Source organism: Homo sapiens, chromosome 12 (assembly GCF_000001405.40).
Source record: "Homo sapiens chromosome 12, GRCh38.p14 Primary Assembly".
NCBI classification, from domain to species: domain Eukaryota; kingdom Metazoa; phylum Chordata; class Mammalia; order Primates; family Hominidae; genus Homo; species Homo sapiens.
Window position 1 is genome coordinate 9,126,268 of NC_000012.12, and position 16,148 is coordinate 9,142,415.

The window sequence follows — 16,148 nt, forward strand, 5'->3', positions numbered from 1 at the left end:
GCATTTTTACTATAACTCATTTGAATGTTATATAAAATATATTCTCTTGAAACTTTATTTCAAAACAGTAACAACTTTAGATTTCATATTTAGGACACAATGTGTATGAAGCAACTTTTCAAGTGACACAGGACTTTTTGAGAGGAAAACTTGAGTTTGCTGTTTCTTCTGTGGCTCATTTTATAAACCAAGCGAGAGTCCTGGTAGAGGCTTAATTTTTTTCAGAAGAATGCCTAACTTACCTGCTGCCCATCTGATTTCTAAATATGGAACTTTCCGACATAGCAATTAAGAATACAGGGACTCCAGGTCTTTCAGTGGGCTGCTATCTAGCCCCCATCCAAAGCTTGACTAACAGAGGTGATGTGTATAAAATACCATACTGCTCCAAGCCTAGAAGTTTCTTTTAAGTATGGGTGCTCCCTCCCTGTTCTTGTCTCCACCATGGAATACAATGGACTGCAATCTGACTTTCAGCTGATCACTGCCTGAAACTTCTGTGCATAGTTCTCTGCCTGGGATTCTGCTCCCACCAGTGAGGACGCCTTAATTTTTTCTTTTACTCACCTGTCCATTTAGTCTGTATATCATCACGAGACAATGCTGAAGTGTATTAGACTTTGCTAAAAGGGTTAGAGTAATTAATTACAGAAAACATTATAACACAAGAGGGAAAATACAGAGCTATATGGTAAATATACCTTGTCCCGCGGTCTATGAGTAAAAGCTCTAGACACTACATTCTTTCTAGGCGGTCTGTCATGGACACACTCAGCTCCTAATCTCAGTTCCTTGTTCTCACCTTCTTCCTATCCCTTTATTAAAGCACCTCATTCTTCTCTTCTCTGCTATCTTTCCAACAAACTTTTGAGAATGTCTGTCCAGTCCTCCTAGGAATTGATTCATCTCTCCACAGCAGTACATTTTTGCCGTCTGGGTTGTTCTGTCTAGAATAATGCCAGGGAACGGCCTTTGGTAGGACACCCAGTGGTGGGCTTGGTTAGCTTTCTGAGGAATATGGACTGTGCTTTAAATTCTGTGGCAGTCCATGGTGAGTTTAGGAGCTTGAAGCCTGGTTCCCTCTTAAGTTCTCCTCACCAGTGGTTTTGGTGTTTTATCAGCCCTTTTTTGGGTCCCCTCATAGCACAAAACCCACTCATAGCACAAAAATTCTTATAATTGGTAATAATGCAATTAAAATTTCCGATTCCTCCTGCCGATTGCAGCTCCTTGAACCGTTCTCTGCCTCACCCTAACTTCCTGCAGCTTTCGCCAGTCATTGGCCACTTAGTCCTTTGGGGGCTGGGCAGCGGCTCCGTGCACTTTGGAGTCGGGGGCGCCTTCCTAGAGCCCAGCATCCACTGGGGCTCCGAAGCCGTAGCCTGTCTGTGTCCTCCACCCACTTTGTGCCCTCATCCTCCTCTGGGGCTATGGCAGCGGCGATGCCAGCGTCCTCTGCAGGTCCGACAGGCTGCTGACGGGCACCAAGATCACCACGCAGAACATCCACGACCACTTGGTTCCTACCTGGACAAGGTGCGGGCTCTGGAGGAGGCCGGGTGAGCTGAAGGTGAAGATCTGCGACTGGGCCCCGGGGCCCCGGCAATTACAGCCACTACTTCAAGACCATTGAAGACCTGCGGGACAAGATTCTTGGTGTCACCATTGAGAACTCCCGGATTGTCTTGCAGATTGACACCCGCCGCCTGGCTGCAGATCACTTCCGAACCAAGTCTGAGATGGAGCAGTCTCTGCGAAGGAGCTTGGAGGCAGACATCAAGGCCTGCGCAGGGCGCCCGATGAGCTGACCCCGGCCAGGGCTGACCTGAAGACGCACATCCAAGGCCTGCAGGAGGAGCTGGATCACCTGGAGAAGAACCACAACGAGGAAATCAGTGCTGCGGGTGGCCAGGTCAGTGTGGAGGTGGATTCTGCTCCAGGCATTGGTCTTGCCAAGATCCCGGGCAACACGTGAAGCCAGTATGCGGTCATAACTGAGCAGATGCCCAAGATGCTGAAGCCTGGTCACCAGCCAGACTGAGGATCTGAGCTGGGAGGTCGCTGGCCACACGGAGCAGCTCCAGATGCACAAGTCCGAGTCGCGGACCGGTGGCGTACCCTCCGGGGTCTTGAGATTGAGCTGCAGTCGCAGCTCAGCATGAAAACCGCATTGGAAGACCGTACTGCAGGAACGGAGGCCTGCGTTGAGGCCCAGCTGGTGCGGATCCAGGCTCTGAGCAGCGGTGCCGAAGTCCAGCTGGGCAATGTGTGTGCTGACTGCCAGAGGAGGCCTGAGCAGGAGATCACTGCCGACCGCATCCTGCTCGAGCGCCAGAAAGATCCTTACAGCAACCTGCCCACCTGCAAGGTCCGCTGAGTGGCAGGCTCCTGGGCTTCTGCTCTCCTTCAGAGGGAGGATCCTGGGTAGGGGATGGGAAGGGAGGGACCCTTACTCCTGGCTCTTCCCCTTACCTGCTAATAAAATTTTATGGCCCAAGGGGGTGGGGGGAAGAATGCAATTAACTTCCAAACCAGTTTTTCTTACACCAGTTTTCTCTGGCAGAAGCTGGAGTGGGGTGACTGGGTCTGCGGGTATTTCATACTCGCTGTTACATGTTTTTGAAATATGTGAAATCTGTTCTCTTTGCTATGTATTTAGGCTCTAACTATGATAAAACCAGACCACCAGAGTACTACACACCTGGACTATACTATCTTGACTTGTAATGGGGTTTCATGAAGTGGCTTGCTTTTGAATGTTACCAGCTAGCCATAACCTCTTTCTTTCTCTCTTTCTCTTTTTCTCTTTCTTCATCAAAAGATAGTTTCAAGAAATAACCATGTTTATTACTCAAAACCTACACAGGCACATCGGGCATATCCTAGGCACTTAATAACAATCGGTATTCATTAAATGAAGAACTATATTAAATTAATTTCTTAATTTGGTGCTAAATATAAATAAATTTTTATTGAAGGCATTCATTATCACTAGTTGATGATACATTTATTATTTCATTCAATACATATAAATTCTGTTGGTGACTACATAAGTACAAATAAATGGTCATTACTATTTGAGGAGAGAGATAGAGAAGAAAGTACCTTGTAATTTTTTAAATTTTTTCTAATCTTTCTCTGACTATAAAAAGTAATGTATACTTATTATAAAATATATAAGTATGAAGAAAATATAAAGTAATGTGTGAGCTACCCACCAAATTCATAAACTGAAAGTATTTTCAGTATTATTGTATATAATAATATATATGAAGATGCAGGTATGGGTTTTCCTTTTTCCCATTTTACCCATTTTTTTTTCCCGAGACGGAGTTTCACTCTGTCGCCCAGGCTAGAGTGCAGTGGCGCGTTCTGCTCACTGCAAACTCCGCCTCCCGGGTTCAGGAGTAGCTGGGACTACAGGCGCCCGCCACCACGCCCGGCTACTTTTTTTGTATTTTTAGTAGAGACGGGATTTCACCGTGTTAGCCAGGATGGTCTAGATCTCCTGACCTTGTGATCCACCCGCGTCGGCCTCCCAAAATGCTGGGATTACAGGCGTGAGCCACCGCGCCTGGTGAACCATTTTTAAATGTACAGTTTAGTAGTGTAAAGTATATACACATTGTTGTGAGACAGATTTTCCGAGCTTTTATATCTTGCAAATCTGAAACTCTATAACTACTAAACAACCTATTAAACACTTCCCCTTTCTCCTCTTCTCTGTCCCTGGTAACCAGCGTTCTTCTTTCTGTTTTTATGAATTGGCTTGGATACTTCATATAGGTGAAATAATACAGTATTTGTCATTTTGTGACTAGCTTATTTTACTTAGCAAAATTTCTTCAAAGTTCATCCATGTTGCAGCATGTATCAGAATTTCATTTCTTTTTAAGGCTGAATAATATTTGATTGTATGTATTCATTCTTCTATTGATGGACATTTGGCTCGCTTTTACTTCTTGGTTATTGGGACTAGTGCTATGACTGTGGTATATAAATATCTCTTCAAGACCATGTTTTCAATTCTTTTGGATATACACCCATAAGTAAAATTCCTGGATCATATGGTAGTTCTATTTGAATTTTTTGAGGAAACTTGACGGTGTTTTCCATAGCAGTTAAACCATTTTACAATCCCACCAACTGCGCACAAGGGTTTCAATTTGTCCCCATCCTTGCCAACACTTGTTACTTTCTGTTTTTTTTTTATAGCAGCCATCCTCACAGATGTGAAGTAGTATGTCATTGTGATTTTGATTTGCATTTCTCTGGTGATTAGTAATGTTGAGCACCTTTTCAATGTTTATTAGCCATTTGTATATATTCTTTAGAGAAATATCTATTCAAATATTTTGCACACTTTAAAATCTAGTTATTTGATTTTTTTTTCATTGTTTAGTTGTGGGAGTTCTTTATATATTGTGGATAATAACTTCTAAATATATTCTTTGTAAATTTTTTTTTCCCATTTTGTATGTTGCCCTTCACTCTTTTGATTGTGTCCTTTGATGCACAAATGTTTTCAAGTTTGATGTAGTCCCATTTATCTTTTTTTGCTTTTGTTACCTGTGCTTTTGGTGTCATATCTAAGAAGTCATTGACAAACCCCATGTCATGAGATTATCCTGTCTGTTTTCTTCTAGAAATTTCATAGTTTTAGGTCTTATGCTTATGTCTTTAATATATTATAAGTTAAATTTTGTAGATAGTGTAAAATAAAGGTTTAACTTTCATTTCCATTGTTCCCAACACCGTTTGTTGAGGAGACTATCATTTTCTCAATGAGTGGTCTTGGCACCCTTGTTGAAGATCATTTGACCATATACACACAGGCTTATTTCTCGGCTCTTTATTCTATTACGATGGTTTATTTGTCTGTCTTTATGCCAGTGCCACACTGCTTTGATCATTGTGTCTTTGTATATGCTTTGAAATCAGGAAGTGTGAGTCTAATACCTTTATTCTTCTTCCAAAGTTGTTTTGGCTATTTCAGATTCCTCGAGATTCCGTATGAATTTGGGGATGGATTTTCTTTTTAAAAGTGAGAGTTTACTATACATTTTGGTCTTCCATTATTTAAATTAAAATATATGTTGGGGACAGCTTTCCATGTTAGTATATCTCTATTAAGAGGTAATTTGAATAATTACATTTTATAATTTTATGTATATTATAATCAATCCCATAGTGATATTTAATCAGATTTTTGTTATTCTAGTTATCACTTCAATGAGCATCCTTGTTTTTGAGGTATAGTCTGTAAGGTAAGTTACTAGAGGTGAAAAAGTTAGATCAAAGGGTAAACACTAGGATGTAAATTCCACAAAGGATAAGATGTTGTTCATTGCTGTATTCCCAGTGCCTAGAACAGTACCTAGCACGCACTGTGTACAGGTGTTTGATAAATATTCAGTTAATGATGAAAGGGTACATACTATATATACGTTTATATATTTGTGTTTTATGTATGCTTATATAAATATCAATATAATTTATATACATATATAGTTTATATACATATATATACACATTTCTAAATTTCTAAGATATAACTCTTGAGTTGAATCTCACAAAAAATGAGAAGATATTTTCCAAGCAGACTGTGGCAGACACTGCTCATTGGCTAAACTACCCACAACATCCCTCTCTCTAGGCATCTTCAAACCAGAGTGACTATGGTGCTGTTTGGGCAATGAGATATAAGTAGAAAACTGCTGGGTAGGGCTTATGGGAAACATTTGCTTTCTTAAAAAGAAGAGTTGTAGTGGGCATACCCCTGAATGTCCTTCCTTGTTCTTACTTAATGGAAAATAGATGTGATATTTAATATTTCAATGACCATCTTGAGACAGCAAAGTAACAAGCAGGGGGATGAAGGTCTGCATGTTAAGGAAGTCTGAAAGATAAAATGGGCCTTGGTCCTCATCAGCATTATTGGGCAATTCTATCAACCTTGGAACACCAACCTATGGACTTTCCTATTTGTTTAAGCAGCTGCTAGTTGCTTTTCTGTTATTTATTGCCAGAGGGATTCCAGCTGATACAAAATATTTTCAAGATAGGTCAGTGTGATAAACGACATGGGTTGTGAAACAACATACAGTGTTAAGTCATCTGCAAGTACAGAAAGGAGGTCAACTTGACTGTGGCTTAGGGATTAGGCTAAAGAGAGAGAGAGTCAGAGCCCTGTGTGCCATGTGAAAGAATCTGGTTTCCATTCTGCAGGCAGTTGTGTAGATAATGAAGTGAGTTAGGCATGAGAGAAACATGATTACTCTGGCATGAATATGACACACACATTGGAGAAGGGCAATATAGTCAGCAGGAAGACCATTCAGGGGGCTAATTCAGTGTTCAGTTGGAAGAAAATGAGGGCCCAAAGTAAGATTACAACAGTGGGAAGAGTGAGAAAAAATATGGATTTCAAATGTACGTGATGTGACCTAATAACTACTTTAATATATATGGGCACATTGGAGAGAGAAGTTGTGTTACTGCAAATTATCACATCTGAAGCACCATTGAGGTAAAGGACACAATTTTCTAATAAAGTATTTAAAGAAAAAATTTCCACCTGATTAATGATTAGATGTATATCCAATTATGAAACACTACTGATCACAAAACACATCTTGATTTCAGAGATGTGAAAAGATGTGCCTCTTTGAATGAATGAAAACTGGTATAGCTAAACTAATATTTATAGATACTGTATGCCAGGCATTGTGATAGGCACCTTGCTTATTTCACTTAGTGAACTCAAAACTTTATGAAAAAGGTGTGGGTTTTTTTTTCATTTTAGAGATAAGTAAAGGATGATTGTAGATTTCCTACTAGGGCAAGTGCTGGGTTTGTTGCTAATAACAGATAGGGAAAGTAGACATATTGAATTTGAGGTTCTTTTGAGATATCCAGTGAAGCTATTCAAGTAGGGAGCTGGGCACAGAGTTCAGAAGTTAAAGAAAAAAGTGATTAATTGGGTTCAGTCAATATTTAAAGGCTGACAATGAGCCAAGCTCTTGAATTAGGTACTGGGGATGTGTGGCAAGTAAAGCAATCAAGTGGAGAGATGGATATTATTTAGTCAGTTCACAAGAATTTTAATGCATATTTTGTATCAGATACTGTTCTGTGGTTAACAAAAACCACATGTTCCTGCCATTGGGGATTATACATTCCTGTGGAAGAATACAGATCAAAGTATATAAACAAATAAATTAAATAAGGTAATTCCATATGATGATAAATGCTGTGAAAGAAAAAAATGTTTCTTTTCTTCCCTGAACATCCAGGGAGATCCAACATAGATTGTGCATTCAGTCAAGACCTCTCTTATGATATGGCATTTAAGCTGGGAATTTATCCTTGCAAAAAGGGAGAGGGCAAGTTATACAGCATTATAGGCAGAGGGAAGCATGTGCTAAACTCCCCAGACAGAAATAAAGTATTCAAGATTAGAGAGAGGGCCAATGTGCTGACACATCATCACCAAAGAGGGGAAAAGTATGAGGCAAGAGAATCACGGTGAAAATAGCAATCTGGGAGCTACCTATACACACTATTAAAAGTTGTAGAAATGAATGAAGAAAATGTAGAGTGCAAAGAACAAGCAGCATAGATCTAAATCTAGAAGAATCTCAACATTTAGAGATCTGATAAAGAAGAAGATATCCAGAAACTGGTCTGTGGAGGAGGGGCCTCAGAAGAAAAACAGAAAAGTGTTATTTTACAGAAATCAAAGGTAGAGATTGTCCTAGGAAGTATAGATTGTTGGGTTTAATGCTGCTGGCAAGAAGCCTGCTCTCAATATCAACCTTGGTAGAATTGGAAGGAAGTCTACAGAACTCTTCTTTCCCTGGTTAGACTTTGCCTGTCTTGGTCTCAATAACTATCATGGCAGAATTGCAGAATTGCACAAGGGACTACAGAACCCATGGTGTTGTGGAGAAGAATGCCACTTCCAATCTCTCCATCATTCCCCACCTCAAGTGCTTGACTCCGGTCTCAAGATGGAGGCTATAATCCAGACCTCTTCGTAAGAGAAAATCAAACTAATGCCTATACACCCATACATCTCTATTTACTTCGGTTGCTACAAGAAAAAGACACCAGGTGTCTTTTTTCTTTTAAAAATTTTATTTTATTGTGGTAAGAACATTTAACATGAGATCTCCCTTTTAACAAATTGTAAGTGTACAATATATTATTGTCGACTATAAGTACAACATTGTAGAGCAAATCTCCAGAGCTTATTTACCTTGCTTCACTGAAATTTTATGTCCATTGATTACAAACTCCCCGTTCCCTCTTCAGTTTAGCCCCTGATAACCACTGTTTTACTCTTTGATTCTATGAATTTGGCTGTTTTAGATAAATCATGTAAGTGGAATCATGCAGTATTTGTCTTTCTGTGACTTATTTCACTGAGCATAATGTCCTCAAGATTCATTAGTTTTGTCGTATACAGAATTTTCTTCTTTTTAAAGAAGTTCGCCCTTCGGTGCTGGAAAGGCAACTGTTGGGATCTTCAGAGGCTCTGCAGCCAGGGGTGGAGGCAGCTGGGGAGGTCCTAGCCATGTAACCAAACCGCCATCGCTCCTCTCTTCCTCTCTTCTGCCTCTTCCTGTCTAGAAAATAACTTTTTTACTCTAATGAAAGAAAAAAGTAGCTGTCTGCCCCTCACACCCTTTCTTCCTGTCAGCCCTCTGCTCTGTGAGGAAGCCCTGGGGGCTGCTCAGCTGCTGAGGCAGCGCAGCCGAGCCCCGGCGTTCCCGGGCCGCCCCACCTCTGCCTCCTTGCATCCCTTCTACCCCAGAGCCACCACCAGGGTAGGCGAGATGGCCGCCTCCATGTCCTTCGTCTCCAAGTTTCTCCACAGCAAAGGGCTCACGAACGGGCAACAGCTGCAGACCTTCAGCCACAGCCTGCAGGAACTGCTGACAGAACATTATAAACATCACTGATTCCCAGAAAAGCCATACAAAAGATCAAGTTATCTTTGTATTCGCATCAACCATGAAATGGATCCCCTGGACAGGCAGCACAGTGGATTGGACCGAGCAGTCAGGAGCTGTTCAAGCTTTTCCCAAGTGAACTCACACTCTGGGTTGGACTCACGCTCACCTCAACCTATGAGATGTCTGTCCTGCAGAATTGGAGAAGATGGCTCCATCTGTGTGCTGTATGAAAGCCCCACCAGCAGGGGGTAGCACTCAAAACAGCACCGACATACAAATGGTAGACAGCTGAATAAACTGTAAGGACGAATTTCTCTTGGGCAGAACCAGCCCTTCCAAAAACTACAGTATGATGACTGTATCAGGTTAAGATGGATCATCTTATAGTGCATGGATAAATTTGATTTTGGCTTTGGGTGGGCTCCTATTGGGGATGGATTATGGAATTTAAACCATGTCACAGCTGTGAAGATCCGGCACAAGATAGAGTGGTAAACATTTTTTTAAAAGTGACAGTGCCATAGTTTGTACAGTATCTTTCAATAATTTAATAGCCTATGAGTCCAAGTAAATGATCACTTTATTTGCTAGGGAGTGAAGTCCTAGAGTGATTTCAGCTTCTCCCAGACATACTTAAATTTTTACATCAATTCCTTTAAAGAAAATCCGTATGTCAAAGAACCTTTCTCTGTAGTAGATCTCGCAGAGGAATTTGAACTATCACACTTGAAAATTATTGTTTACCTTTTTGGCAGCTCAATAGGGGAGCTCAACGTTTTAAACATAGTAGTACTGGAAATTTTACGACAAGACTTTTACCTAGCAAATATTTCTAAATGTACATAAAGACAAGCTAGCAAACATGACCTGGGAAAATGGTCAGACTTTGTATTGTGTTTTTGACCTTGAAAGTAGCAAGTGACCAGAATCTGCCATGGCAACGGGTTTTTAAAAAGACCCTTAGAAAGACTGTTTCAACTGTGGTGTTGGCACCAGCCAGCTCTACGTACATTTGCTAGCTTGTAGTTTTCTAAGACTGAGTAAACTTCTATTTTAGAAATTGGAGGTCTGGTTTGTAACTTTCCTGGGTAAAAGTATTTTCATCTATTTTGTGAACTTTGTTAATCATCTTTTATTTGGTAAATTATGAATGGGTATACATTTGTACAGTTCGTGTATATTGATTGTGGCAAAGTTGTATTGATTTCTATATTTTGGATGAGAAATTTTTCTTCTGTAATAAATTGTTTCTTATCTTGGCATTTAAAAAAGGCAATATTCCATTGTGCATGTGTGTGTGCATATATGTGTGCATATATATATGCATGTATATATAATATGCATATACATATATACAAATATAGATGAATATATACACCATGTTTCCATAGCAGTTGCACCATTTTGCATTAACACCAACAGTATACAAAGATTCCAGTTTTCTCCACATCTTTGCCAACCACTTGTTGTCTTTTATTTGATAATAGGCATCCTGACATGTGTGAAGCGATATCTCATTGTGGTTTTGATTTGCATTTCCCTGATTAGTGGCATTGAGCATTTTTTCATATACCTATTGGCCATTTGTATGTTTTCTTTTGAAAGATGTCTACTCAGATCCTTGCCCATTTTAAAGTCATGTTATTAGTTTTTTTGCTGTTGAGTTGAGTTGTAGGAGTTGCTTATATGTTTTGGATAGCAACCCCTTGTCAGACACATGGTTTGCAAATATTTTCTACCATTCCATATGTTGTCTTTTCACTTTGTTGATTATTCCTTTGCTTTGCAAGAGCTTTCCAGTTTGACATAGTTCAACTTATTTGTTTTTGTTTTCGTTGTCTGTGATTTTGGTGTCATATCCAAGAAATCATTGCCAAGACCAAGATCATAAAGCATGTCTTTTATTTTTTCTTATATCAGTTTTACAGTTTCAGGCCTTACTTTTATGTCTTTAATCCACTTTGAGTTAATTCTTGTGTATGGTGTAAGATAAACATCAAATTTTATTGTTTTGCTTATGGATATACAGTTTTCTCCACACCATTTGTTGAAGGGACTATCCATTCCCCCTAGTGTATTCTTGGTACCCTTGTCAAAGACCAGTTGACCTTTTATGGGTGCATTTATTCCTGAGATCTCTATTCTGTCATTGATGTTTATCTGTCTTTATGCCAGCACCATACTGTTTTGATTACTGTGGTTTTGTACTAAATTTTGAAATTAGGAAGTGTGAGTCCTCCAGCTTTCTTCTTCTTTCTCAAGATTGATTTTGTTATTTGTGGTGTTTTCTCATTCCCTATAAATTTTAGGATTTCCTTTTCTATTTTTTTAAACAATACCAATGTGATTTTGACAGGGGTTGCATTGAATCTATAGATTGCTTTTGATATTATGGTTATTTTGACAATAGTAAATCTTCCAATCAATGAACATGGTATATATTTTTATTTAATTGTGTCTTAATTTCTTTCATCAATGTTTTTGTTTCCAGACACAGGTCTTTCACTTCCTTGGAAAAGTTTTTCCTTAAGTATTTAATTCTTTTTTGTGCTATTGTAAATGGGATTGTTGTCTTAATTTCCTTTTCAGAGTTTATTGCTAGTGTATAGAAATGCAACTGATTTTTGTAAGTTGATTTTGTAGCTTGCAATCTTACTGTATTTGTGTATTAGTTTTAACAGTTTTTTAAAATGGAGCCTTTGGGATTTTTAATACATAATATAATGGCATCAGCAAACAGGAAAAAGTTTATCTCTTCCTTTCTGATTTGGTAGGCTTTAATTTATTTTTCTTACCTAACTGTTCTGGCTAGGGCTTTGGTTCTATATTGAATAAAAGTGGCAAGAGTGGGCATCATTGCCTTGCTCCTGTTCTTAAAGGAAAAGCTTTCAACTTTTCACCGTTGAGTCTGATATTATCTATGGGCCTTTCATATATAGCCTGTATTATGTTGAGATACTCTCCTATTTATAGTTTCTTGAGAGTTTTTAACATGAAAGAATGTTGAATTTTGTCAAATGCTTTCTCTGCTTGTATTTATATAATTATGTGATTTTTTTTCCCTTTATTCTGTGAATGTGGTACAAATTTATACATACTGAACCATCCTTGCATCCTGGGAATAAATACTACTTGGTCATGATGTATGATCCCTTTAATGTGCTGTTGGATTCTATTTCCTAATATTTTTAAAATATTTTTTGCATCTATATTCATCAGAGATATTGGCCTGTCATTTTTTTTTTCTTGTAGTGTCCTTGTCTGGCTTTGGTAGCAGTGTGCTACTGGCCTTATAAAATGAGTTTGGAAGTGTTCTCTCACTTTTTGGAAGCATTTGAGACTGATTGGCACTTTTTTAAAAAAATGTGTATTAGAATCTACCTGTGAAGCTATCTGATCCTGGGTTTTTATTTGTTAGAAGGATTTTTGTTATTCATTAAATCTCCATACTAATGATAGGTCTGTTCAAACTTTCTTGATTTTTACTTTTGACATGTTTTGTGTATTTGGGAATTTACACAATTCTTCTAGGTTATTCGATTAGTTGACATATTTGTTCACTTATGATCATTTTTATTTCTAAAAGAGCAGTTATAATGTATCTTCTTTCATTTCTTTTTTTTTAGTCTAAATAAGGGTGTGTTAATTATTTTTTTCAAAAAACCCACTGAGCCTCTTTGATTTTTTTCTTTTCTTGTTTTATTTATTTCTTCTCTAATTTTTGTTATTTCTTTCTCTGCTAATTTTGAGCTTAGTTTGTTCTTTTTCTAGCCTCTTGAAGTATAAATTTGGGTTGATTATTTTAGATCTTTGTTCTTTGTTAATGTAGGTATTTATCACAGTAAACCTCCTTCTTAATAGTGCTTTTGCTGAATACCATAATTTTAGTGTTTTTTATTTTTGTTTTCATTTGTATTAAGGCACTTTAAATTCCTTCTTGATTCCTTCTTTCACTCAATGACTTTTCAAGAGTCTGTTGTTTAATATCTATGTATTTTTTATTTTTCCAGTCTTCCTTCTGTTATTGATTTATAGTTTAATTTTGTTGTGGCCAGAAAGACACTTGGTGTGATTTCAATCTTTCTAAATTTGTTATAACTTATTTTGTGACTTAATATGTGACTTATCCTGGGGAAGGATCTGAGTGCACATGAGAAGAGTATGTATTCAGCTGCTGTTTGGTGGAATATTCTGCATATGTCTGTTTGGTCCATTTGGTCTATTGTGTTATTCAAGTCTGCTGTTTTCTTATGGATACAGATTTCTGTCTGAATGATGTATCCATTATTGCAAATAGTATTGAAGTTTCCTACTATTATTTTATTGCTCCCTATTTCTCTTTTCTGTTTTTCCAATGTTTGCTTTATATATTTAGGTGTTCTACTGTTGGATGCATATATAATTGTAATTGTTATATATTCCTGTTGAATTGACCCTTTTATCATTATAAAATTTCCCTTTTGGTCTCTTGTAACAGTTTTTAACTCAGTCTATTTTATCTGATATAAGTGTAGCCACTCCTCCTGTAAGAGTTAAAGAAAGAGGAAAGAAACATGAAAAATGGCTCAACAGTGAAAGACAGGTTTATTTTGGAGAATAAACCTGAGAGGGGATTCTGACCAATTTTTGGTCAGGACCACTCTCTCTTACAGACTAAGAGTATTTAAGGGTTTTAGGGTAAGAGAGCTTATCACAGGCTTGGAATGTTTCTGTGTGGAGGAGAAGTTTATTGTGGGGTTGGAATGTCTCTGGTCAGAGGGGAGGTTATCTTGGGGCTGCATCTCTCTGGCCGGAGAGGAGGTTATCTTGGGATGGGCATGTCTCTGGCTGGGGAGGGGTTTATTTTCGTGTTGGAATGTTTCTGGTCAGAGATGTCATTTGTGGTTTATGGTCATGCTGACATTAGCCATTAGGCTGATGCCCTTTGGGGCAGTTTTTGGGTAGTTGTCTGTGAAATGGCCATGATCCTGTCAGTTAAAAATCTCTGGAAAAGATTAATTAGGCAGGGTAAGAACATTAGTCCTAGGCATAGTAGTAGGGGGGGGCCCAGGAATGGGATGACCCATGCTATGGTTTTTTTCCCAAATCAAGAATCCATTTGGTTGTTTTGGAATTCCCTTAGCTCTTTGGCCCTTTCTTTAAGTTATTTAGCAGTGTTTCTTACTCGGCCCAATTGGTTGAGATAGAAGCAACATTCCTTACCTAATGAGAGGCAGAGGCACATGTTTGGAAAGGGCCACGTGTTATTTTCTGCCAGTAACCGTTATTAAAAAATAAATCATGGTAGGAATGGTTTGCATTATTATACTTGGTTTAATTATTTGCATACAGTGCAGCAAGAATAATTATTTGTTACCTAGGCCTTTTAAACTGGCATTGATGGAATTTTGTTCCATAGAAGGAATCTGAGATAAGGCCTTTTAAAGCTGAGCCCAGTCATGGAATTGTACCATTAAATACCTATGAGTTGGGTGAATTCCTCTCCTCCTGAGGTTCCAAGATAACTTGGGGGTACTGGCCTGTCAGAAAGTGACATTCTTTACTTACCACAGGTCAGAAACCCTGTACAGGGACTGTGCACATAAAATATGAGGCCAGTTTCCCGAGAGTTTTATTGGCTCCATAAGTCAAGTTTGATTCCTTAAAGGACAGCACACCTCTCCAGTCAAAGCCTTGGTAAAATAACCAGTTTTTCAAATCATGTTCTGTTACAAAATAAAACAGATTCTTATTGCACTGATGGAAATAACTATATTGCCATAACTTAAATATACTCAAAAAGTAAAAAAGATTACTTCAGTCTCTAGGGGACCAAAAACAAGACAACAATTGTTTATGGATGACAAAAAGTTTTATAGTAGCCATAAAGTTACAATTGACAAGAATATCTGTTACCTTTGTGGCATGCAATATTTTAACATAACAATTATAATTATTACTGATAACGTACACTAAGATATATCAGAAATATAGGAGTCTCTTATAACTTTGGAACACATACCAATAACATATGTATGCAAATATAGCCCAAAGAAAGCCAAACACCATTTTATATTTGACAATGCTTCCTGTATGATTTTATACCAAATAAGCTAAACCTTTATATTAGTGTGCTACTAATGTTAAACTCAATTTTTAATAGAACCTTGTAGATACATTTACCCGATTTTAATGTTTGACCATAAGGTAAGATTTCTATAGACCCTTTTTAACCCTTTATAATTTTTGTTAAAGAGCAGGTTAGTGCTTTAAGAGAAACCAAACCCACTGTGCTTTTATTTTAATGTCAGTTTACAGAAAAACTGGATGATACTTCTTCAACTTTAGCCAATATATTTACACACAGAATTTCCTTTACAATTAACCTTCCAAAACTTGCTTAAACCTTCATTTTTATTTTATTCAACTTAAAACAATTCTTTAACCTTTTAATCTAGGTAAAAATCCACATTCTCATGCCTCCTTATAATCTTTTTACCAAAAGTATATGTAAACTGTTTTTTCAATAGTCTTAAATACATGTTACACTGTTAACTTTTAGCAACCTTTACTTTTGTTGGTAAGTTTGGGATTTTAATTATGTACTAGGTGGAGAGCCTAGGACCCAGACAGAAGTTCAGATAAGGTCCGACTTATTCCAGCATTTAACTCCATGTGTCCTAGGTCTTACCTAGCTGCAAAGCAGGCAAGTTGTACAGCTAAGAGTTATATGGCATTTTATAAAGCATTCAGGAGTCCTAATCACTTTTAAATTGTACAACATTTCTTGCATAAATTCCCTTTTATAAATTTTTTCATGACTTACATGGACAGTCTCTGACATGCCTCGACTTTGTTGTAAACATCCCTCTCTTTAAACAACTAGTTAATTTACTTCAGGACAGGAATTTACCATATATGATTCTTTTTTGTATAAATTCTCTTTTCTTTAATATCAAAGATGATAACAGTCCTTTCCCAAAGCAAACTTCCTTCATGTCTGTGCACTAGACTGCCTAAGGCCACAAAATTAGAAGTTAGGGTATTTCACTAAATAGTTCAAGATGAAGCTATCTTTATTAAACCAATATTAATGTTTCATTTATTAAAAAATTACACAAGCAAAGATTATTCTGTTTGGGCTGAGTTATAGTTTTGTAGTCTCTATGCCAAATTTTGACACCTAATAGTATTTGGCAGAGATAAGTA

General features: G+C 37.8%; 2 protein-coding genes and 2 pseudogenes across 7 annotated transcripts in view; 3 read left to right on the plus strand and 1 right to left on the minus strand.

Moving 5' to 3' along the window:
* KLRG1 (killer cell lectin like receptor G1) overlaps positions 1-16,148 on the plus strand; it is a 265,527-nt gene that overhangs the window by 176,224 nt on the left and 73,155 nt on the right. Inside the window, exon 7 of one of the 3 annotated variants that reach the window (XM_017018684.2) lies at positions 8,819-10,232. The exons of the other annotated variants lie outside the window; for them this stretch is intronic. The gene's annotated coding sequence lies outside the window, so the exon portion shown is untranslated. Of the gene's footprint in view, positions 1-8,818; positions 10,233-16,148 lie in introns of those variants that run through there. 3 annotated transcript variants of the gene reach the window in all.
* Positions 1,463-2,242, plus strand: KRT17P8 (keratin 17 pseudogene 8; annotated as a pseudogene).
* Positions 8,495-9,630, plus strand: BTG1P1 (BTG anti-proliferation factor 1 pseudogene 1; annotated as a pseudogene).
* PZP (PZP alpha-2-macroglobulin like) overlaps positions 10,205-16,148 on the minus strand; it is a 71,924-nt gene continuing 65,980 nt past the window's right edge. For all 4 annotated transcript variants that reach the window (XM_047429274.1, XM_017019763.2, XM_047429276.1 and 1 more), the window contains one exon: positions 10,205-14,665. The gene's annotated coding sequence lies outside the window, so the exon portion shown is untranslated. The remainder of the gene's footprint in view (positions 14,666-16,148) is intronic.